The 22,771-nt window shown below is 50.9% G+C and overlaps 1 protein-coding gene across 25 annotated transcripts in view; it reads right to left on the bottom strand.

Annotated features, from left to right (window-relative positions):
* CUX1 (cut like homeobox 1) overlaps window positions 1-22,771 on the bottom strand; it is a 467,952-nt gene that overhangs the window by 359,869 nt on the left and 85,312 nt on the right. For 24 of the 25 annotated variants that reach the window (NM_001913.5, NM_181500.4, NM_001202545.3 and 21 more), the window contains exon 2: window positions 7,865-7,975. The exons of the other annotated variant lie outside the window; for it this stretch is intronic. In NM_001913.5, the coding sequence (NP_001904.2) occupies window positions 7,865-7,975 (111 nt within the window). The remainder of the gene's footprint in view (window positions 1-7,864; window positions 7,976-22,771) is intronic. 25 annotated transcript variants of the gene reach the window in all.

Raw genomic sequence — 22,771 nt, 5'->3', positions numbered from 1 at the left:
AAAGGAGGGACCTCCTCCCCTCACCGTGCCTGCCAGGGTCGGGAAGGAATCCACAAATCTAGCCAATTTCAACGATGGTAAAAGATTCCTTTCCAAGTCCTATCTCAAGACAACTCCCAAGCCTGAATTTTTACAACTGCTACCCGGGAACACAGAAATCAGAGAAATGCGCCAGGCCGGCGTAGAAGGGGCAGAGGAAGATGTTGGCACCCAGGAAAGGAAAAGAAAGTGGATGGGCAGTTCTGTGAGCAGCACAGGGTGCTCCCTGTTGCAAGGTGGGCATGCTGAGCCAGGCGTCTCCGACAGTCAGGGCTGCCGCCGCAGCCAACAAGAGCCAGGATGGAGACCTGGGTGTGACATCATGTGCATCTGAGCAGGACAGGTGTAGAAAGCACAGACACAGACTGTGAGCACCGCAGACCAGGCATCGTTGGGATTAACGTTCCAGAGATCAAGAAATGTAGAGGCAAAAATACATCAGGGCAAAAATGACCAGTGACGGCCCCTGAGCCGCAGCTCGGCTCTCCTCCCAGAGCAACGGGGTCTGTTTTAGAGGAGACAAAAATTAACTGAGCAAAGTCCTGCAGACAGACACCCAAGAAGCGTTCTGGAGTAGGACTGGGCCGACTGACGTCACCAGGATGAGGGCTGGGGATGGTTTCATGATAAAATCACAGCATCTCAGGAATGTGGTTCTCCTCCTCTCTTTTCTCCCATCAGAGAAGGTTCCTCCCATATTGAAAAGAAGCAGAACAAAACCCAAAACCATCCCTGAGCTCTTTCTGGAAGCAAGCCTAACACAGACGACCATTTATTGGAGAGTTGAGCATCACATTCAAATAGCAGAGCCCTGAAGCCAGGCCGATGTCGCAGGAGCACTGGGGGTTTCTCCAGGGAGGACCCCACGCTGGGTTACCTGGTCTCCAAACTGTCCAGCCACTCTCCATCCACTAACTCCCTACAGCCAGGCCAGTGAGCCGGGGCTGCAGGTCAGACATGCTGCAGACCTCCCGTAACCTCGCCTCCAGAAGAACTCTGGAATCACACACGCGGGAAATCGGAGTTTGACCGCGATCAAAGCCATGGAAAAGCAAACGGCAAACGGAAAAGCTAAGAGACACTTTCTGGGGTTTGCGAGAGCTAGGCTTTCAGCCTCCACTGCTCACATACATGATTCTAACACCACCAGGCTTCCAGATAGCTGCTGCTGCTCCCTCCTGACATGCTGTGGCCAGCCCAGTGCAGAGGTGCTGCCCCTGCTGCCAGCCCGTGGAGCCCCTTGTCACATCAGGTGGCCTTGCTCCTTCACCCATCTCCCACTCCCCAGCACCCAGCCCAAGGCCAGGCACACCCTGTCCCTGCCCAGCGGTCAGGCCTTGGTACTCATCTGTCACCCACCCCAAAGCTCTAGAATCCCCCCTCCTCCCTCCTTCATCCCCTTCCACCCCAGGACACAAGGAGGAGAAGGAGAGTAGAGGTGACCCACTGGTTCTCCTGGAATGGTGAGCTGAAACTGGGACTATGGGCCCAGAGAACTGGTGTTCTAAACTAAGGCTGCATGGATGAGTGTCTGGGAGCCCCCCAGAAACTGCAAACGTGCATTTCCCAGGTGCGTAGGTCCTCAACTTTCATGGATATTTTAAAGGTTAAGAACCAAGGCTCAAAAAGCAGAACTGTTTATCTATAAAAAGGGTTACTGAGCCATATGTGGCTTATCCAGAGAACTTTATCACCACTGACATAAGAGTGTTTCTGTGGGGAAAGTCTACAGTCAGAAGATTCCAGTCATTCTATCCTAGCACTTAACACGCTCTGCCATTGGGTTCTATTTGCTTACTAAGAAAGATAAGAAACTTTTTAAAGAATGGAGATAGGGTTTTATTCCCAGGGCCAAACTGTCTGGCACATGGAAGGTGTTCAATAAATATTTGTAAGATGATTAATTGTTATTACAAACCAATTTTTTTTTTTTGAGACAGGATCTCACTTTGTTGCCCAGGCTGGAGTGCAGTGGTATGATCATGGCTCACTGCAGCCTCAACCTCCTGGGCTCAAGCCATCCTCCCACCTCGGCCTCCCAAGTAGCTGGGACTACAAGTGTACACCACCATCCTGGCTAATCTTTTGATTTTTTTGTAGAGATGGAATCTCACTATGTTGCCCAGGATGGTCTCAAACTCCTGGTCTGAAGCGATCCTCCCACCTCAGCCTCCCAAAGCACTGGGATTACAGGCGTAAGCCACTGTGTCTGGCCACAAACCAACTTTTGAAACACTTTAAGCTGAAACTACCTATATTTGTTGTTATTTTTTTTTTAAAGTTGCCCGAGCTAAGGCCGGGTGTGGTGACTCATGCCACTTGGCACTTCGGGAGGCCGAGGCGGGTGGATCACCTGAAGTCAGGAGTTCAAGACCAGCCTGGCCAACATGGTGGAACTCCGTCTCTACTAAAAATACAAAAAATTAGCCGGGCATGGTGACGGGTACGTGTAATTCCAGCTACTCAGAAGGCTAAGGCAAGACAATCACTTGAACCTGGGAGGTGGAGGTTGCAGTGAGCAGAGATGGCGCCACTGCAGTCCAGCCTGGGTATCAAGAGTGAAACTCCGCCTCATAAATAAGTAAATAAATAAATAAATAAATAAATAAAATAAAATAAAACATAGAAATTCCCCAAGCTAGCTCTGAGGAACAGAAATCCACTGTATCTCATGAGTTACACGGTGAGTATTCCCAGGTTAATGCTAATAACGAACATAAGCTAAACTCTAGGGACAGGCCTGTGCGCAGCCCTTCTCGTACAGGCACATGGGTACGTACACACACATATGTGCACACAGCAACCCTGCGAGCGGGGCCCTGTTGTTACATTATTTATAGATGACAGAACTGGGGCTTTGGGAGGTATCTGCCCCAAGACGCACAGCTACTAAGTATGTCGCCTTAAGTAAGAAATACAAAAATCAGAGCTGGGCGCAGTGGCTCACACCTGTAATCCCGACACTTTGGGAAGCCAAGGTGGGTGATTTAGCTTGAGCCCAGGAGTCTGACACCAGCCTGGGCAACAAAGTGAGACCCGGTCTCTTCAAAACATAAAATTAGCAGGGTGTGGTGGCACGCACCTATAGTCCCAGCTACTCTGGAGGCTATAAGGAGAGGATCGCCTGAGCTCAGGACATCGAGGCCACAGTAAGCTATGATTGTGCCACTATATTCCAAAAAAAACAAAAATATAGAAAGCAATATACCCTAGAAACACTCCACCGCCTATTATGTTCCACGATTGATTCTTAATTCAATAGGGAATGGATGTTCAGTTAGAACATTTAAAAATGTTTTTCTTTCAAAGGGACTCTTTTTGTAGATTCAAAGAAAACGTATACAATTTTATCTGCAGAGTAACTGCAATCTTCTGCAAATTAACTACAATTTCTGGATTAAAAAGACACAATATCATATGATGGCAAATATATTAATCTAATGATATAAAACTGAAACTTTAAAAAACTAATTCTAAACAGAAAACCTTCAACTGGGCGCAGTGGCTCGTGCCTGTAATCCTAGCACTTTGGGAGGCCAAAGTGGGAGGACCCTGCTTGAGCGCAGGAGTTTGAGACTAGCCTGGGCAACAGCAAAAGGCTCTGTTTCTACAGAAAATTTAAAAACTACGGCCAGGCGCGGTGGCTTACACCTGTAATCCCAGCATTTTGGGAGGCTGAGGCGGGTGGATCACAAGGTCAGGAGTTCAAGACCAGCCTGGGCAACATGGTGAAACCTCACCTCTACTAAAAATACAAAAAAATTAGCTGGGTGTGGTGGCGCATGCCTGTAATCCCAGCTACTCGGGAGGCTGAGGCAGAAGAACTGCTTGAACACAGAAGGTGGAAGTTGCAGTGAGCCAAGATCGTGCTACTGCACTCCAGCCTGGGCAACAGAGCAAGACACTTGAAGAAAAAAAAAAAAACACATAAAAATAAAATAAAATAAAATATACTAGCCAGGCACTGTGGTGCCACGTTCCTGTAATCCCAGCTACTCGGGACACTGAGACGGAGGGATCACTTGAGCCCAGGAGTTGGAGGCTGTAGTGAGCTGTGATCGTGCCGCTGCGCTCCAGCCTGGGTGACAGAGCAGGATCCTGTCCCCAGAAAAACCCTTCAAGGCTCCAGCCATCCTGGCGCTCACCTCCTGATGTTCCTGTGGCTTCTCCCGCCTGTCAGAGTCCCAGCCACCACACAGCACCCCTCCCTGGCCACCTCCCCGTCACAGCCCACCTTTTCCCTCCTGGACTAGAGCTTTTCCCAGTGACATCTGGGAAGGGCCAGTCTAGAAGGTGAAATCTCCGATGGCAGACAAACTTTACTCCCCACTGAACCCTCGCGGGTGCCTAATCCTCCCTGTGGAACACATTAGACATTCATCAGACACCAGGAAACCTTTCCTTCTTTCCCAGAACAAAGAGAGACGTGGGCGTTTCCATCAAGATCAACACCCTTGGTGTCACACCAGCAGGAACACCACCAGCCCTGGCTCTGCCACGCTGTGCCCTGGAAGGTATGTTGCCATGGGGATCGTGGGCTGCATCCATAGGGAAGAGGATACCCTCCTCCCGGTAAGCCAGGCTGTCCTACCCAACGGGCGAAAGCTCTAAGCAAGCCTCGTTTCTACACATGCAACAACCCGACGTCACCTCCACGGTTAGTAATCAATCCTGCGGTGTGGCCAGAGGAGCAACCAGTGTCAGGGCAGTGGTGGCTCCTCAAGACTGAGACCCCAAACAAACGGTGACCCAGTGTCCCCTTGGGACACAGGCCAGGCACTGAGCTGAGGCTCCACACATGTGCTATCTACACACACACGTACTGTCACAGCTCCCCCCCCACACACACACACCTGCTGTCACAGGGAACAGCAGGGAACTCCGCCTCCTGCACACCCAGCACACTCCGGCCACAGCCCCCGACTCCCACCACTGTTCTGGTCTTATGTGGTTTCAACATTTCCAGCAGGAGGGCTGGGCGCGGTGGCTCATGCCTGTAATCCCAGCACTTTGGGAGGCCGAGGTGGGCGGATCACCTGAGGTCAGGAGTTCGAGACCAGCCTGGCCAACATAGTGAAATCTACTAAAAATACAAAAATTAGCTGGGTGTGGTGGTGGCATGTGCCTGTAATCCCAGCTACTTGGGAGGCTGAAGCAGGAGAATCACTTGAACCCAGGAGGCGGAGGTTGCAGTGAGCCGAGATTGTGACACTGCACTCCAACCTGAGCGATTGGGTGGTCCTCCAACCTGAGGGCAAGACTCTGTCTCAAAAAATAAAAAAAAAGTTACCAGCAGGAAGCTCTGGCTGCTGGCACAAGTGAAGTGGGTCTCGTCTTGGACTTTCCGCGTGGGCGCCCCACAGATTTCCAGGTTGGTCCTTGGATGAGAAAGTGCATAGGGCTGGCGGGGCAGGAGCCTGCAGCCAGCTCCCCTCTCCCCACCTCCCCAGGACCGCATGCTGCAGTGAGACCCTCGTTACTACAGCCAAAGATGAGGAAGTGGGCACCACCCTCCACCCACTGGCAGTGGCGGGGTCAGGGCCAAGCAGGTGGTGACCTTCCATCATCTGCCTCCCCTTCCTGGTGGGTTCTAGCCCCTTTCTCCATGAAGACAGAGTCTAAAAATGTGTCCTGAGAAGAAATGCCCCAAGTGGCAGGTACCTACCAGGCTGCCGCCTCCCCAAGCCTCTTCCATTTATTGGGATCAGAAGGAGATAAAAACGCCAAGTTTAAGGCCAGGTGTCTTTGAGTAACTAATGTGGAATTCGACACAAGGCACGATGGAGGGATAGGGCTCAGTGCAGTACAAGCGGCATTTATCAGCAGAGCATAAGGAACGGACAGGGTGACCGAAGGGGGACACGCTCCTCCTCCACTGTCACTAGGAGTTGGGGACTTCTGAGGAACACCCAGGAAGCCAGGCCTCTTAGGAACCTCATTCTCTGGCTGAATACACTCGTGTATTTATTGTCCGTGGCCTCTGAAGGATGGCCTTGCCCCTCTAAGATTTTCTGGGTTTTTTTGTTTCTTTGTTTGTTTTTAACCACAAAACGTTTTCTTTTTTCTTTTTACCTTTTATAACAGAGATGAGTCTTGTTATGTTGCCCAGGCTGGTCTTGAACTCCTGACCTCAAGTGATTGCTTGCCTCAGCCTTCCAAAGTGTTGAAATTATAGGCGTGAGCCACTGCGCCCAGCCAAACCTCTAAGATTTTCTATGGAAACCCTCAGACATATGGTCACCGAGGAAAGGGCAGTGACAATACAGAACGGTGGGTGACCACTAGCTACAGGAACGGCACTAAGAGGAGCTAGCACGATGGATGTGGCGGGGCTTGGGCTGGGGAAACTGAGTCAAGGACAAGCGCTCAGGAAACCGGAGTTCCAGGAAAGTCTGCTCTGAAGCCGCTGGAGGCAACAGAAGAAGGACGTTCTGTCCCCAGCTCTTTTTTTCCTCCTGTTTTTACTCATGGCAAGGCTGACATGGAGAATAGGGCCCCCCACTCCCCAACACTGGCAGAGAAGGCAGAAACCCCCAAGCACCAGTGACTCCCACCTGCATTTTTGGTCTCGTGAAACATGGAGTACCCACATTTAGGGGCAGCCGAGGCAAGCAGCGGGTGTGAGATTTGAACCCTTAGCTGGCTCTGTGGCCAAAGGCTGCCTTCTTTCTACTCTGCTACCAAGCTTTCTCCTAAAATATTTATTCTGAAGACAGAAGGTTATTAATTTGTTTTCCATAATGATTCATGCCAGCAGTCCCTTGACTAGCAAGCCTCTTTTGAAACATTTTAAATGAGTCCGCTTTTAAAAATGCAATTCACATATAATTTCCCAGCAATATTATGTAAGTAAGAGAGGGGCATCTCTCCTAGAAAGGAGCTTTGCCTCCAGGCATGTTCCTATGTCTTATATGGAGGAGCCAAGAGCTACGATACGGAGAAGATTCCCCAAGCCCGGAAGCCGGGCCGAAGCTGTGGGCTGCTGCGACCCCTTCCCATACAAGGGGAAGATGTAAGAGAGGCTGGGGTCCGAGCCCGCGGGATGAGCGCCATGGGGACCAAACTGGCAGATGTCACCCGGAAAGCCATTCCCGCGACTGCTCATCTGCCTGCAACACGCTTGGATGTTTTTTTTTTTTTCTTAGTAAGCCCCTGATAGGGTTGAAGGGAAGGAAGAAGGGGCCAGGAAACGAGCAGAAAAACGCCACCCCAGCAACTCAACACTGTCCCCCGATTGCACACTCACGAGAGAAAAAACAGGAGTATATAAAAAGCACATTTCCATTGCCCTTTACGGCATATTTCAAGAAACAGAGAGGCATTTAAAAGGCCTAGCAGGCGAAATGTCTGTTTTACAAGAAGCGTTAGGCGCACTGCTATGCCCAGATGCGTGCAGCCTTCAGACACTCCGCCTGCACCAGCAACAGGGAAGCAGGCCCCGCGGACCTTCCACCCCACAGGATCCCTTATGGACTTTGGTGGCTTGCTAACTGACATGGGACAGGGTCTGGGATGAGCTCGAGGGTCTGAGACACCCACACACCTGCCCACGTGTTCTTACAGACCAAGCTTGTCCAGTATCTGCACCTGGAATTGGCTCTGACTTTCATATTTCCAGACAACCTATCAATTTCCACATCCCCACAGCCTGCAGGATGGCATGCGTTCTGCTGGAAATGGGGCTGAAGACATCTGGGGAAAGAAACGGGTTGTTTGCCGGCCGTGCGTTCATCTGATGAAAATGAAACGCTCACGGAGCGTCGCCTGAACATGCACCAGCATTCTAAGATCCCTTCAAAGCGAACACGATGGTCACGCGCCTCACCTCTGGAGTGTTCTTCTTGAACTCCCGGCTCTGTTCGATAAGCCGCTTTCTGGACTGCTCACTTTCATCCTGCCGGTTCGCCAATACCGTTGCGGTGGCATCGAGTTCTCTCTGTTGGGGAAACAGGAAAGGAAAAGTGAGATTGTAATTGCACTGTGTACTAGAGGAGGGTCCTATTTGCATTTGACCAGAACACTGGGGGAGAGACCCCAGTGGCTCTAAGGAACATCAACTCATTGGCAGAGGAGGGGCTGGAGGGTGGCGGGAAGGCAGAGAAATGAACATTATCCCCCCATCCCACGTCCGTCCCATGTGAAGTGGTTGAGAAAACCAAGCTCGTTCAACATCATGGGTCGTGCCTCAATGTGCACGCCATAAATGACTCTGTTCCCATAACAGAATACACAGAAACATCTTTCTTGCTCCAGCCACAACTATCAGGCTAATGCCCAAAGCACCCGCCTCCCCAAGTTGCTCCACGCCTCTTCTTCCCAAGGGTTCCTTCCAGCCAGCCACTCTCCTGAGCTCTAGTCCTTCTGCTGATCTATCCCCTCCTCGGGGCATTCCGTGTGGCCGTCCTTCAATGCTGTGGGCCTGGGATCTCTGAGAGTAATACTTGGTTTGTATTCATTCAACAAATGTTTATGGTGAGCTCACTCTAGGCCAAGCATCATGTTCGAGACCATTAACCTATGATTAGTTTTCAAGAGGGACCTTTAAAAGGTAAATTCCAAGAATAATTATTTCCAACCACTTTTCAGAAATGAGGCACCATTGGCAGTTATTCTCAAATCACATTACTTGCGCGGGAACGCTGAGGACCACCAGGAGTGGGTTCCCCATGAGGGACCCGCTAGGGGGCTGAGGACTCTGGGCTCTGCTCCCCGCAACAAACCGATAATCAACGCGCCAGAGAACCTGTGCCCTGGCCTCAGAAATTCTGGGAAGAGCTGCCAAGAGGATCTGTTTCCAACAAGCCTGCAGCAGATGGCCCCAGAATGGTGTTCCAGGCTGACAGCAGGCGCCCAAGGACACACTGCTGTCGCCACCAAAAGGCCTGTTTTCCTGCCGAGTCGCTTTGGCAACTAAAGACACACAGCGGCCCGTTCTGCTGGGATCCAAGGTGGCTGCTCTAGCTGGCTTCTCACGGTTGGGACCATCACCCTGAGTCCAAGCAGAGCTGAACGGCGAGAAAAATCAAAGCTGAAGATTTATCCCCACGCCTCCAAGAAGCACACTAGAGCCTCTCCTTCTCCACCCCCCACCACCCAGCTCACCAAGTCCCACAGGCTTTCCTCCTTGGCGGAAGTTAACCAGCAAACCTACACGTTACAAGTTCTTGCTGGGAAATGCTTCCTTGGTACTACTACGGGGTGGGCCATGCCGGATGGGATGAAATCATGCTGTCAACTTACAAATCATGGACAGGCCGGGCGAGGTGGCTCACGCCTGTAATCCCAGCACTTTGGGAGGCCGAGGTGGGTGGATCACCCGAGGTCAGGAGTTTGAGACCAGCCTGGCCAACATGGAGAAACCCTGTCTGTACTAAAAATACAAAAATTAGCCAGGCATGGTGGTGGGCTCCTGTAATCCCAGCTACTCAGGAGGCTGAGGCAAGAGAATCGCTTGAACCGGGGAGGCAGAGGTTGCAGTGAGCCGAGATCACGCCACTGCACTCCAGCCTGGGCATGAGTGAGGTGTCCCAAGGGAAAAAAGAAAGAAAGAAGAAAGGAAGGAAGGAAGGAAGAAGGGAAGGAAGGAAGGAAGGAGGGAAGGACGGAGGGAGGGAAGGACGGAGGGAGGGAGGGAAAGAGGGAGGGAGGGAGGGAAAGAGGGAGGGAGGGAGGGAGGGAGGGAAGGAAGGAAGGAAGGAAGAAGGAAGGAATCGTAGACACTTTAAAAAGCAGGGGAGGAAAGAAAAAAAAACAACAACGACAATAAAACAACAAACCAGGCAATGAGGGGAAGATACCACCACACCACACTCTTCTCCCCTTAGTATTTCTGGCATTCAGGCACATCTTGGGCAAACAAGTCCTAAGGAATAACGTGGGCTAGAATTCAAGAACAGATGTCAAAGCTATTGCAGAAAAAAGGGAAACACTGAACATTTTGATAGACCACATTTGAAACACATCCCAGTTAAGGGAAGGCAGGGAAAAAAAAAAAAGAGCAACCGAAACCAATGTGGTGGAACGGGGGATACAGATAAGAGAGGAGCAGTCACAGCGAAGCAGAAGGCTCTTCAAAAATATAAACAATCTGGAGGGAGGAGGGCTTTGACATCTATATTTAAGCAGCAGCAGCCGAAGTTATAAAAGGAGCCTTCGAAAGAAGGCGGGGAAGAAAGCCAATATTGAAATATGACAAAAAAGAAAAAAAAAGAGTTGATGTTTCGTTCCAATCGCACACAGACGCAGAAAACTTAGGAGAAAAACAAAAAGAACATGACTGCTTTTGGCCGGGGGTCCCTACTTCCCCCACTGCATGGAAGCCTAGCAGGGTGGGGGTGCTGGGGGCGGTTACCCAATCGGTGGGCATCTACCGATGTCTTTGAGTTGGCAGGCGCTGGAGGTATGAAGGTGGGGTCCCAGCCCCGACCCCCAACTTCTCATCTAGTGGGTCAAGTGTGGGAAACGCTGGGGAAGATGCCAGATGAGCCGGGGGTCTGTGGGCCCCCTCCGTCCCCCTCGGTCCCCACCTGCCCCTCCCTGGGCTGATCTGTCAGAGAGCCTGCCTGGTGGAGGAGGAAACTGAAACAGGTGGCCCGGTGCAAGGTGAACCCACCTTGATCCCGGGGCTGCAGAGCCAGTGCGCCTGCGGCAACTTGCTGCTGGCAGTCGGGGACTCAACGGGGGTCTGCGGCCCTCCCTTCCCCGTGCCCGCAGACATATGCAGGTCGGCATGGGAAACCCACGGGGGTCTCCAAATTTAACACCGAGCCGCCACCCGCCACCACAGAAACAGATTGGCACAGCGAGGAGGAGAGACTGAGCTGCCGCCGCCCCAGATTGGGTTGATCAGATTTAAGGCTTGAAATCTTTGACCAGGTCCCTTGGAGAAAATTTTTTTAAAAAACAACACACACACACATAAAAACCAGTACCACCAAATCCTTTCTGAAGGACGCTAAGGCGTTCTCGGGCTGTGGGAGGAGACAGCGATTAAACATAAGCCAAATACTGTTTTATTATCTACCAAGCCTGCCTATCCTCAAAGCGTCAACTACAATGACACATTAACAAGGGAATGAAATGCATCTTGGGGAGGTGGAGGTGGGGGTCCCAAATGCAGAGGCCTCGGCCCATGAGTCACGGGTCACGTGTGAGAAGGCGTATGGAGAGTCGTCACATCTGAAAGGCATTAAAAAGTCACAAAGAGCAAAAAACCTGGACCCAACCTCCTCCATGCCCAGCAATACCCTGTCGGTTTAGCCCCTCACAGATTTTCCTGTAATGTAAAAAAACACGGTGTATTGTAAGGGATATGATAATCATCAGATACATCCAAGCCAAAAAGCAAACCGCAACACAATGTTTAAAAGAATATCCATCCATATGCTCGCATAGGCTGTGATTATCTCCAGAGGGATACAGAAGAAACTTGTGACCGTGCCTGGCTCTCTCCAGAGGGGCCGGTGGGGAGAGGGACTTACTCCATAGTGTGTATCTTTGGACTGTCTTGCCATTTGGATGCATTATCTAGCTGGAAGAACTGCACTAACTATTAATTTTTACAATCCTGCTAAATGTGAACGAGTGCGTACACAAATGGTAATGCATAGTGTGGGACACGTGAGCCTCTGCGTTACGGTCTGTGTGTCCACCTGCAGGGGCAGAGGCCTGGAATCCAGAGCCTCGTGGGTCTGGTGATGCAAGAAGTGAGGCGAGTTATGTCCTTTGTCAAAACAACAGCTGTTTCTTGCACAATATGCTGCCCACTGGCCAGTCTCAGGGCGTATGGAGATAGAGGAGGAGGAGGGAGGGGGGAGGGGGAGGAAGAGGGGAGGGGGAAGAGGGGTTGGTGGTGGCGGTGGCCACTGCTGGTCACAGAAAACACCACCAAACCAAGCCAGAACTCTCCCGAGGAAGACAGAGGAGGGTATCCGCTCAGAACTATCTAGAACTCCTCTCCAGCTAGAAACACCTGCGGGCCCCTGGTCCCAGGTCCCAGGTCATGGGAAGCTGGCAGGCTAGCAGCAAACTGATGGGCTCAGAACCTGGCACTTCCAACGAGGCTGAGACAGAAACTTTACTGAGAAAATGTCTGGCAAGGAGAGGCACCAGAACGCAGAAAATGTGTTTTTATCTTTCTAAGAGATCACAGGATGACTGATGTCAGGAGGCAATGAGGACCCACATGGGTCAGGTTTCAGTCCCACCCAGCCGGCCCCTTGGCAGCCGTGTGGCCCGGTCCACCTTACACCCCCAGCACTCGCTGGACGGCAACTATTCCTCTCTCAAGTCAATGGGCCGAGCTGACCAAGAGCTTCCCAGGTGTAGACTCAGCAAGTGGGTGTCACCAACAGGAGCCCCACCCTTGCACAGAAGAGCTTCAGAGGTCAAGGCCAAGGCTCAGGTCATCCACTGGCGGGCCAAGGTCAACGCCAAGGCTCAGGTCATCCACTGGCGGGCCAAGGTCAACGCCAAGGCTCAGGTCATCCACTGGAGGGCCAAGGTCAAGGCCAAGGCTCAGGTCGTCCACAGCAGAACCAAGGCCAAGGCCACGGCTCAGGTCATCCACTGGAGGGCCAAGGCCAATTGCCAAGGCTCAGGTTGTCTACTGCAGGACCAAGGCCAAGACCAAGGCTCAGGTCATCCACGGCAGGGCCAAGGCCAAGGCCAAGGCCAAGGTTCAGGTCATCCACTGGAGGGCCAAGGCCAAGGCCAGGGCTCAGGTCGTCCACCGCAGGACCAAGGCCAAGACCAAGGCTCAGGTCATCCACGGCAGGACCAAGGCCAAGGCCAAGGCTCAGGCCATCCACTGGAGGGCCAAAGCCAAGGCTCAGATCATCCACCACAGGGCTGAGACCAAGGCCAAGGCCCAGGCCCAGGCCCAGGCAGTCCACTGCAGGGGCAGGCCAAGCCTATCACCAAGTCGGCCTGGCTGCTGCTGTCTCAGCTCAGAAACCAAGGCCTACGTGCACACAGGCATCCCTCATCCCGTGACGCTGGTGTACAGCTGGGGTGCTGTGGATAGCTGGAATCCTGTTTTCCTCACTGATTACAATTTCTGGGATGTTTTTTCTCCAATTCTGACAGCTCCTCAAAGGGCAAAGCTCCTAACATTTTAAGTTTCTCTCTGCCCCCAACTCCAGACTTTCTGCCAGGCATTTCAGATGTTATTAAAAACAAAATTAAAAAACTACCATGTAACCAGCTGTCTGCTTAACAGAAATAGTGGGAAAATTTTTTTCCCAAATAAGTATTTAAATAACACCAGAGATCCATTTGGATTTGCCCATCTTTTTTTTTTTTTTTTGAGACAGTCTTGCTCGGTCGCCCAGGCTGGGGTGCGCTGGTGTGATCTCGGCTCACTGGTTAACCTTCACCTCCAGGGTTCAAGACCCAGCCTCCTGAGAAGCTGGGATTACAGGCATGAGCCACTATGCCCAGCTAATTTTTATGTTTTTAGTAGAGAGGGGGTTTCGCCTTGTTGGCCAGACTAGTCTTGAACTCCTGGCCTCAAGCGATCTGCCCGCCTTGGCCTGCCAAAGTGCGGAATTACAGGCATAAGCCACCATGCCTGGCTTGGATTTGTTCACCTTTAAAGTGTATGTGGGCCGGGAACAGTGGATGATGCCTGTAATTCTAGCACTTTGGGAGGTCTAGGCAGGCAGATCGCTTGAGCCCAGGAGTTTGAGACCAGCCTGCCAACATGGCAAAACCCCATCTCTACAAAAAATACAAAAATTAGCTGGACACGGTGGTGGGTGCCTGTGGTTCCAGCTACTTGGGGGGCTAAGGCGGGAGGATCGTTTGAGCCCAGGAGGTCAAGGCTGCAGTGAGTCATAATCAAGCCACTGTGCTCCAGCCTGGGTGACAGAGGGAGACCCTGTCTCAAAAAGTATAATTGTCAGGAGTTCGAAACCAGCTTGGCCATCATGGTGAAACCCCATCTCTACTAAAAATACAAAAAATTAGCTGGGCATGGTGGTGTGCATCTGTAATCCCAGCTACTTGAGAGGCTGAGGCAGGAGAATCGCTTGAACTCGGGAGGCGGAGGTTGCAGTGAGCTGAGATGGTGCCACCGCACTTCAGCCTGGGCAGCAGAGCGAGACTCTGTCTCAAAAAAAAAAGTGTAATTGTCAGTTGTTTGTTTTAAAGTGGGGGTATGGGAGGCATCCCCACCATTTCCCACTGAGATTTCCAGCAAGTGCTCTCTGCAGATGCACAGGGCCAGGCTCCCACAGGGTGGGTCCTTCTAGGCCTGCAAAGGATGCCTCCTGCCCCCAGAACCTCTGGGCTGGTGGGAAAAACATACTTGGGCTGGCCACATCAGCAACACAAGTATTCTTGTTTTATTATCTCAAACTTTAATCCAAAGAGTGAGTTCATCTGATGTTTCTTGGGGGATTATCTGTCAAACTAATCAAACAGCACATCCTATATAGAAATCTTAAATGGTTTTGCTAGTGAAAAAAATAGATCACTTGTACAAAAAGGGAAAGGTCGGCCATGGTTCCTGCACAGGAAGGTCCTAAGACCATTTTATTTTTTGTTTCATTTCCAACAACAGAATCATTTCGATGAATGGAGGGTTCTCTGGCTAGAAAGGGGTGGTGGGCCTAAGCCCCACCCACCAGCCTCTTTCCATCACTTCTCCAAGTCCCCTACTGAAAACATCCCAAGACGCTTCAAACAGTGGTGTCTAAACTGGAGTCCTGGCCTCAAGCAATTTTCCCACCTCGGCCTCCCAAACCTGAACTGGACTCCTGGCCTCAAGAGATCCTCCCGCCTCGGCCTCCCAAACCTGAACTGGACTCCTGGCCTCAAGAGATCCTCCCGCCTCGGCCTCCCAAACCTGAACTGGACTCCTGGCCTCAAGAGATCCTCCCGCCTCGGCCTCCCAAACCTGAACTGGACTCCTGGCCTCAAGCGATCCTCCCGCCTCAGCCTACCAAACCTAAACTGGACTCCTGGGCTCAAGCGATCCTCTTGTCTCGGCCTCCCAAACCTGACTGGACTCCTGGCCTCAAGTGATCCTCCCACCTCAGCCTCCCTAAGTGCTGGGATTACAGCCTGGATTTGCTCATCTTTAAAGTGTATGTGGGCTGGGTGTGGTAGCTCACACCTGGACTCCAGGCCGCATCCCCATTGTAACCTGTGTGGCTGTGGTCAAATGACTTCCTTTCTCTGGACATAATCAAGATGATGCATTTCAAGTTTGTGGCACAGTAAACGCTACATCACAGTTCATTTTGTGTACTCTCACAGACACATGCTTGACCTCAGACCCGAATTCATTCTGCCACCAGCATCCCCCACCAGGCCAGGGGCTCCAGGGATGGTTCAAGTAAATCATAAGTCAACCCTGACTGCCAGGTGCAACAAGGCCGACAGGACCAGACCATGGGACAAAAACAGAGGTGGGGGGCTTAGAAAAGGGAGAAATTGAGGCCAGGCATGGTGGCTCACACCTGTAATCCCAGCACTTTGGAAGGCTGAGGTGGGTGGATCACCTGAGGTCAGGAGTTCAAAACCAGCCTGGCCAACACAGTGAAACTCTGTCTCTATTCAAAAACAAACAAACAAACAAACAAACAAACAAACAAAAAACAGGCTGGGCGCAGTGGTTCACGCCCGTAATCCCAGCACTTTGGGAGGCCGAGGCGAGCAAATCACCTGAGGTCAGGAGTTCCAGACCAGCCTGGCCAATATGGCGAAACCCTGTCTCTACTAAAAATACAAAAATCAGCCAGGCATGGTGGTGCATGCGGGAAAGTGCCATCCTGTGAGCCTGTGCTCAGTAATGGAAGTGTAAAAACACCTCCCCAGAATATGTCCATCAACAGCAATCAATCTAGTCACTGCAAATACACAGATACACATAGATGCATAGAATCTGCTTCTACCTACACAAGGTTCTGTAGAAGGTTCTACAAACATAAGATACTGGTAGTATCCATACCAGGGAGGGAAATTAAGGGGCTGGGCACTCACTTGGGGGTGGGAAAGTCTTTCATATCTACACTTGGGTACCTTTGGTATTTTAAGCACGTAAATGTAATGCCTACTCCTAAAAGTAAACGATGGTTTTTTTTTTCTTTAATAGATGGAAGTCTTGCTATGTTGTCCTGGCTGGTCTCGAATTCCTGGGCTCAGGCGATCCTCCCACCTCAGCCTCCTCAAAGTGCTGGGGTTACAGGGGTAAGCCACTGAGTCTGGCTAAACATTGATATTTTAAAATCTTATTTTTTCCCCTCCAGTAATGAGACCTAGGCTTTGAAGGGCTGACAAGGTCTTAGGACATCTCATTTGCAGAAAGTTCATTTGTTCTCTTCGTGGGCTCCATTTAAAGGAGAACCTTGTAGATTCCTAAAGTTAAAGTTCATGTTTTTGCTTATTTCATAAGTTTGTGGCCAGTGGGTGACTCACACCTGTAATCCCAGAACTTTGGGAGGCTGGAGCAGGTGGATCACCTGAGGTCAGAAGTTCGAAACCAGCCAGGCCAACATGGTGAAACCCTGTCTCTACTAAAAATACAAAAATTAGCCGGGTGTGGTGACGTACACCTGTAATCCCAGCTATTCGGGAGGCTGAGACATGAGAATCGCTTGAACCCTGGGGGCGGAGGTTGCAATGAGCCGAGATTGTGCCATTGCACTCCAGCCTGGGAAACAGAGTGAGACTCTGGTCTCAAAAAATAAAAAATAAAAATAAAAATAAATAAAATCTCATTTCTTCCCCTCTAGTAAGGAGACCTAGGCTTTGAAGGGCTGACAAAGTCCTAGGAAACCTCATTTCCAGAAAAGTGCTCCTGCGTAACGCTGCAGAAAATTCATTTTGTTCTCTTCATGGACTCCATTTAAAGGAGAATCTTGCAGAATTCCCAAAGTGAACGTTCATGTTTTCACTTATTTCATAAGTTTGAGAACCAGGTCTAACCTCATATTTCCCAAATGTTCTCAGACACTTAATCCTTCCCCATCACTTTCCCACTGACAGGCTTTGATTCACTACTGTGTCATAAAAAATCCTGAATGATGGCCACAGTGTTCTGGTACGTGATGTCAGACACGTGGGCCAGAGGGGGCATCTCGAACCAGGAAGCCAGGGTTTCCACAGAGTGAGACTGACCTCCAAAAGGGGTCCGGGAGTGGGGGGCAGCAGATGAGTGGCAAAGATGGGACAGTGGGAGGGAGAGACCCATGGAACCACCACCACCCACACTGCCCACCCACCTAAGCAGTGAGCTCCCACCCACTCCACCACCCCATACAGGCCTAGGCTCGCAATGAGGAAAAGGAGACAAAAAGCATAGTTGAAAGCAGGAAAGCTGGAGATACGGCAGCTGCTAGGAGTCAGCCTGATGCAGAGAAGGAGGCACCCTTCCTAGTCCTCAAGGGCATGCAGTGGGGGCCTAGAAAGATGACCAGGACACAGTCCTCCAGGACACGGGGCGCGCCCTGCCAAAGCCCGCCGTGAGCTTGGCGTTCCCTGCTCAAATGCCTTCTGTGGCTTCCTGGGGGCCATCGATAAGACCACCCAGGGCTCCCCAGAACCCTGACCTGGCATGCTGACGTTCCCCTAGTGTCCCCAGAGAACAGGGTCCCCTCCTTTCCCCTCGGACCTCGCCACAGGCTGTTCCTTCTGCTTGGAAACCTTTCCTTTCTCTCTTCCAAAAAATGTTCTGATGCCACTTCCCCAGCTCCCTCCCTGCTCCTCCTGCCTCACCTCATAAGAGATGGGAACCTGTGTGCCCAGCTCAGTGAGTGGCTGCGTGGCAGCTCCCCTAGTCTGGGCACAGGGTTGGTGCCGTCTCCCCATGGGCTGTGAACTCCAGCAAGGACTGTGTTTTGCTCACTATGAATTTCCCAGAACTTTGCAGGGTCCTGGGGACATCACAGGCATGTAGTCAGCGCTAGTAAATTAAAGAATAGCTGGCCACAGTGGCTCACACCTGTAATCCCAACACTTTGGAAGGCCGAGGTGGGGGGATCACTTGAGCCCAGTACTTTGAGACCAGCTTGGGCCACATAGTAACACCCTGTCTCTCCAGAAAAAAAAAAAAAAGTTAGCTGGGCATGGTGGCGCACACCTGTAGTCCCAGCTATTTGGGAGGCTGAGGTGGGAGGATCACTTCAGGCCAGAAGTTCGAGCCCAGCCTGGGCGACAGAGCAAGACCCTGTCTCATTAAAAAAATAAAAAGAAAGAAAGAAAATACTGGGCACGTGGAGAAGCAAGCGCTTGCCCAAAGACTGATTTTCTGGTTATCTGGCGGGTTAATAAGAAACACTGCGTGTTCAGGAATCTCTACACAGGGCAGCTGGCAATGCCTTCCCATCTTGGAGATTAGGGCCGAATGAACAGAAGGAAACCTCTTGGCCAGATCTCACGGCGTATGGTGGCTGTGTTTATTTATGGTGTGGTTTTCTCACCACGAGGGTGGATCTTGGTCCCCAGTACCCTGAAGAAGAGAGGATGTTCCGGGTCTAGGAGAGGAAAGAGGTGTCTACAGCATGGTGTGGAGGGAAGGGTACTGAATTTCTGATCCAAGGGACCAGCGTGAACACGGATTCCCACTGCCTGTCGGGTGAACAGAATCTGGAGTCTGTAAGATGGGCGCAACGCCACCTCCTCTGCTGTTTCCCACAACGCATACAGGGATGCAGAGCGGTCTGCTGTGGCTGTCGCTCCAGCTCCCTTGGCCCCACAGATGAGGGCAGAGAGGCAGCAATGAGTCCCAAATTGGGAGAAGAATGAGCATGCTTGGAAAACAGCTTTGTGCACCTAAACTCCTAAAATCATAGTGCTTTTCCTGGGTAGGTCACATTTTCCACCAAAATCAGAGGGCAGGAAAAGACCTGGTTCACTTCCAGTTGCCATAGTTTATACGAGACAATGTCTGGCTACTACAAAACGAGGGAGAGAGGTTCTGAGCCCCCCACCCAGAGACACAGCCTTGGGTAGGTCACCTGGCTCTCACCCTCCCCAGCTGAGTGATCCAGGCAAGTGATTTAATGTAAAATGGGGACACCCTCTGATACATACTTCATAGAGCTGCTATGAGGATTAAGTCACATAAAACGCCCAGTGCAATGAGCGTGGATGTCAGTTTCTCTTCCTCTTGCTATTCAATCTGACTCCACCTCGTATAAAGATTACGTGCCCATGTTCCTTTAATTCTCAAAATGGGGCCAGGCGCAGTGGCTCACGCCTGTAATCCCAGCACTTTGGGAGGGCAAGGCAGGGGGATCACCTGAGGTCAGGACTTTGAGACCAGCCTGGCCAACATGGTGAAACCCCATCTCTACTAAAAATACAAAAATTAGCTGGGTGTGGTGGTGGGCGCCTGCAATCTCAGCTACTTGGGAGGCTGAGGCAGGAGAATCGCTTGAACCCGGGAGGCAGAGGTTGCAGTGAGCCAAGATCACACCACTACACTCCAGCCTGGGCAACAGAGTGAGACTCTGTCTGAAAAAAAAAAAAAAAAAATTCTCAAAATGTTATTATACATTTGATATGTATCAGTATTTCTTGATTCTGAGAGATCATTTGATATTAACTCCCAATCACGGAAATTCAAGTGAAACTTACAAGCTGCGGCCTTTCCATGGAAATGCTATTCTCTTGAATCTGTTCAGCACACCCCCAGAAAATGAACAGAAGTACAGTACTGACTTAGGGTAGACAGTAGGGGTAAAAAGGGACAGAGGCGGAGACAAAATTTCTCAGTATATAAACATACAAATTTTATTTTTTTGGAGACAGGGTCTCACTGTGTTACCCAGGCTGGAGTGCAGTGATGCAATCACAGTTTACTGCAGCCTCGAACTCCTGGGCTCAAGCAATCCTCCCGCCTCAGCCATCTGAGTAGCTGGGATTACGGGCGCGTGCCACCATGTCCAGCTAATGTGTGTGTGTGTGTGTGTGTGTGTGTGTGTGTTTTGTAAAGACACGGTTTTGCCATGTTACTCCTGAGCTCAAGTGACCGCCCCCCACCTCAGCCTCCCAAAGTACTGCCATTACAGGTGCGAGTGACCGGACCTGGCTAAAATTTTGATTTTAGACCAAGTGAACACGTTACCTATTCAGAAAATAAGATTGAATAAAAAATTATAATTTGGTCTATGAGTATAAAAGCTACGCGTACAAAGTTTTCCTACAAGCCTTTTTTATAAATCTCTCAGGACTGAGAGATTTCCATCAAGAATCAAGAATTTGTTTTTTTGTTTTTCACCCCGTCACAAACCCACTCTGCGAAGATGAAAATGCCAGATGTATCCAACAAGCATTGCACTCCATAGAATACTTGCTAGACGCTCATTTAAACGGTGAGATGTGAGAGACGCTGTCTCGGAGACGCATAATGACATGTAAGGCGGAGCAGGTGCCGGGGCAGGCCACGTGGCCGGCTCTGTGGCAGGGAGAGGGGAGGATAATTCTCAGCCCTAACGAGAAGGGCTCTGCTTTATGGATTACTCAAACCACATGACATTACTGATATTTGACCATTTTTGAGCTACAAAAAAATGTCCGTTTTATAAGCAGTATTCTTTACTGCTCTGTTGTGGCTGTTATCTCAAAACAACACATAATTCTGCCTGCCAGGCTCAGCCTTGTAGGCACACGCAGTGCTCCCCACTACAATCTTCGGCTCTGCAAGGAGCCCAAAGGACCCTAATTCCCCCGACCCAGCCAGCCCCCTAGGGTACGGTTCTTGGGGTCTGCTCATCTCCATTTGCCTGGGTTCCCCATAGCTTTCTCCCGGCCATCTTGCCTCCTGTTAAAGTGGGACCTCCCCCGCCACCACCCGCCTTGTGTAGGTCACTTGTTTTCTACCTCCTGTGTTCCCCCATACCAGGATGGGGAGGGGCTACTGAGGTCTGGCCGGCTGCTGACCCTGCCCCTCCTCTTGGCCTCGGGGTCAACCAGGGAGAGAGGCAGCCACAGGTGGTTTGCTGATCTGGTCTTACAGATAAGGAAACCGAGGCTTCGCATGAATGTGACTCACCACTGAAACAAATGCCCGGGAAACAGGCCCCTTGACTTCATGCCTTCTATTATTCTTTTTATACTTAGCATACATCATGAGACATATGGGAACTTGTTAAAATTAAGAAACATCAGCCATTAAAATTAAGAAATATCAGAGGGGTGTGGTGGTGCACAACTGTAGTCCCAGCTACTCGGGAGGCTGAGGCGGAAAGAGCCCACGAGTCCTGCCTGGACAACACAGCAAGACCCCATCTCTTAGAAAATTAAAAGATGCCCATGAAGGTTGATTTGGGCAGTTGATGGCTAAGATATTAATTCCTCTGCCCAGCTCGATGGCACTGCCCCACTGCTCCGTCTGCAGGACAGAAGACGGATGTCAAAGACAACAGACAGGTCCCAACTCCGCACAGCTGCATCCGGCACAGAGAAAGACTTGGGAGATTTGTAGTGGGTTGACCCTCCAACCAATTAATTGGCTCCAGGGACCAACTAATGAAATGAGAGGGATGAATGGGAACTGCACTATCCAAAATGGTAGCCAGTGGCCACATGTGGATTACATTTCATCTAAGTTAAATTTAAAATTTGTTCCCTCCATTCCAGCTGCCATACTTCAAGGGCCCAACAGTTACATGTAGCTAGTGGCAATTATATTTGCTGGGGCGGGTAGAGACCATTTAATCAACACAGAGAGTTCTAGGGACAGTGCTGGCCTCCAATGACCCCCAGGTCCTGAGGATAACGCTATTAACCATTGCAAGGGAGGTACCGCCCCATTTCACAGACTGAGGAAGCTGATGATCAGATGACTGACCGGCTTTGTCGAAATCATAGCAGGAGAGGTAGGGCCTGGATTTGAATCCAGATTCGGCCGACTGTCCAACTGAGGCTCTCTGCAGAACACCATGCCACCATCTCTTCCCCATGCCTCTAGCTGAATGCAATTCCCTGTCTCCATGAAACAGGGGGCGAGGTCATCAGTGAAAAACGAGACGGGGCAGGGAAACCGTTGTGGCTGAGTCTCAAAATAGTCCTGCCACTGCCAAAAGGAATAGCTCTGATCTCATCTGCGCTGGTAAAAATGTTTTCCTCCTAAAGTATTTGTTTCAGAAATAAGCCTTTAATTTGAATGCTTTCAGAGCCAACATTTCTGTCTGCTGAAAATATTTATTTCTATTGTTTGGCAGGAATCAATTTGTTAGGGCACCAGCCATTCTGGCAAGGGCTCCCTTCCCCTTCGCGAGGAGAACACTGGCAGGGAAGCCACCCGCGGGCCTGTGGCTCACTCCCTGTTGGGGTTTCTCAGCCACTAACATCTGCCCGGGCAGACACGGGCTGCTGGGGAACAAAACAAACCACCTAGTGTGTGTGTGCCCGGGACATATACGCTTTGGGGGGTCCCTGGGAACGTACAGCTGGGCCTGGTGGGCCACTGGCTGCTTATAACTTGCAGAATTAAAATAGATTTTGTGGCCAGGCACAGTGGCTCACACCTGTAACCCCCGCACTTTGGGAGGCCGAGGCAGGTGGATCACCTGAGGTCAGGAGTTCGAGACCAGCCTGGCCAACATGGCAAAACCCTGTCTCTATTAAAAATACAAAAAAATAGCCGGGCGTGGTGGTGCAAGTCTGTAATCCCAGTTACTCGGGAGGCTGAGGCAGGAGAATCGCTAGAACCCTAGGGGCGGAGGTTGCAGTGAACCAAGTTCACACCACTGCACTCTAACCTGGGCGACAAAGCAAGACT

This window comes from Homo sapiens, chromosome 7 (genome assembly GCF_000001405.40).
Source record: "Homo sapiens chromosome 7, GRCh38.p14 Primary Assembly".
NCBI classification, from domain to species: domain Eukaryota; kingdom Metazoa; phylum Chordata; class Mammalia; order Primates; family Hominidae; genus Homo; species Homo sapiens.
Note: the sequence above shows the minus strand (reverse complement) of the source record. Positions and strands in the feature narration are given on the sequence as shown.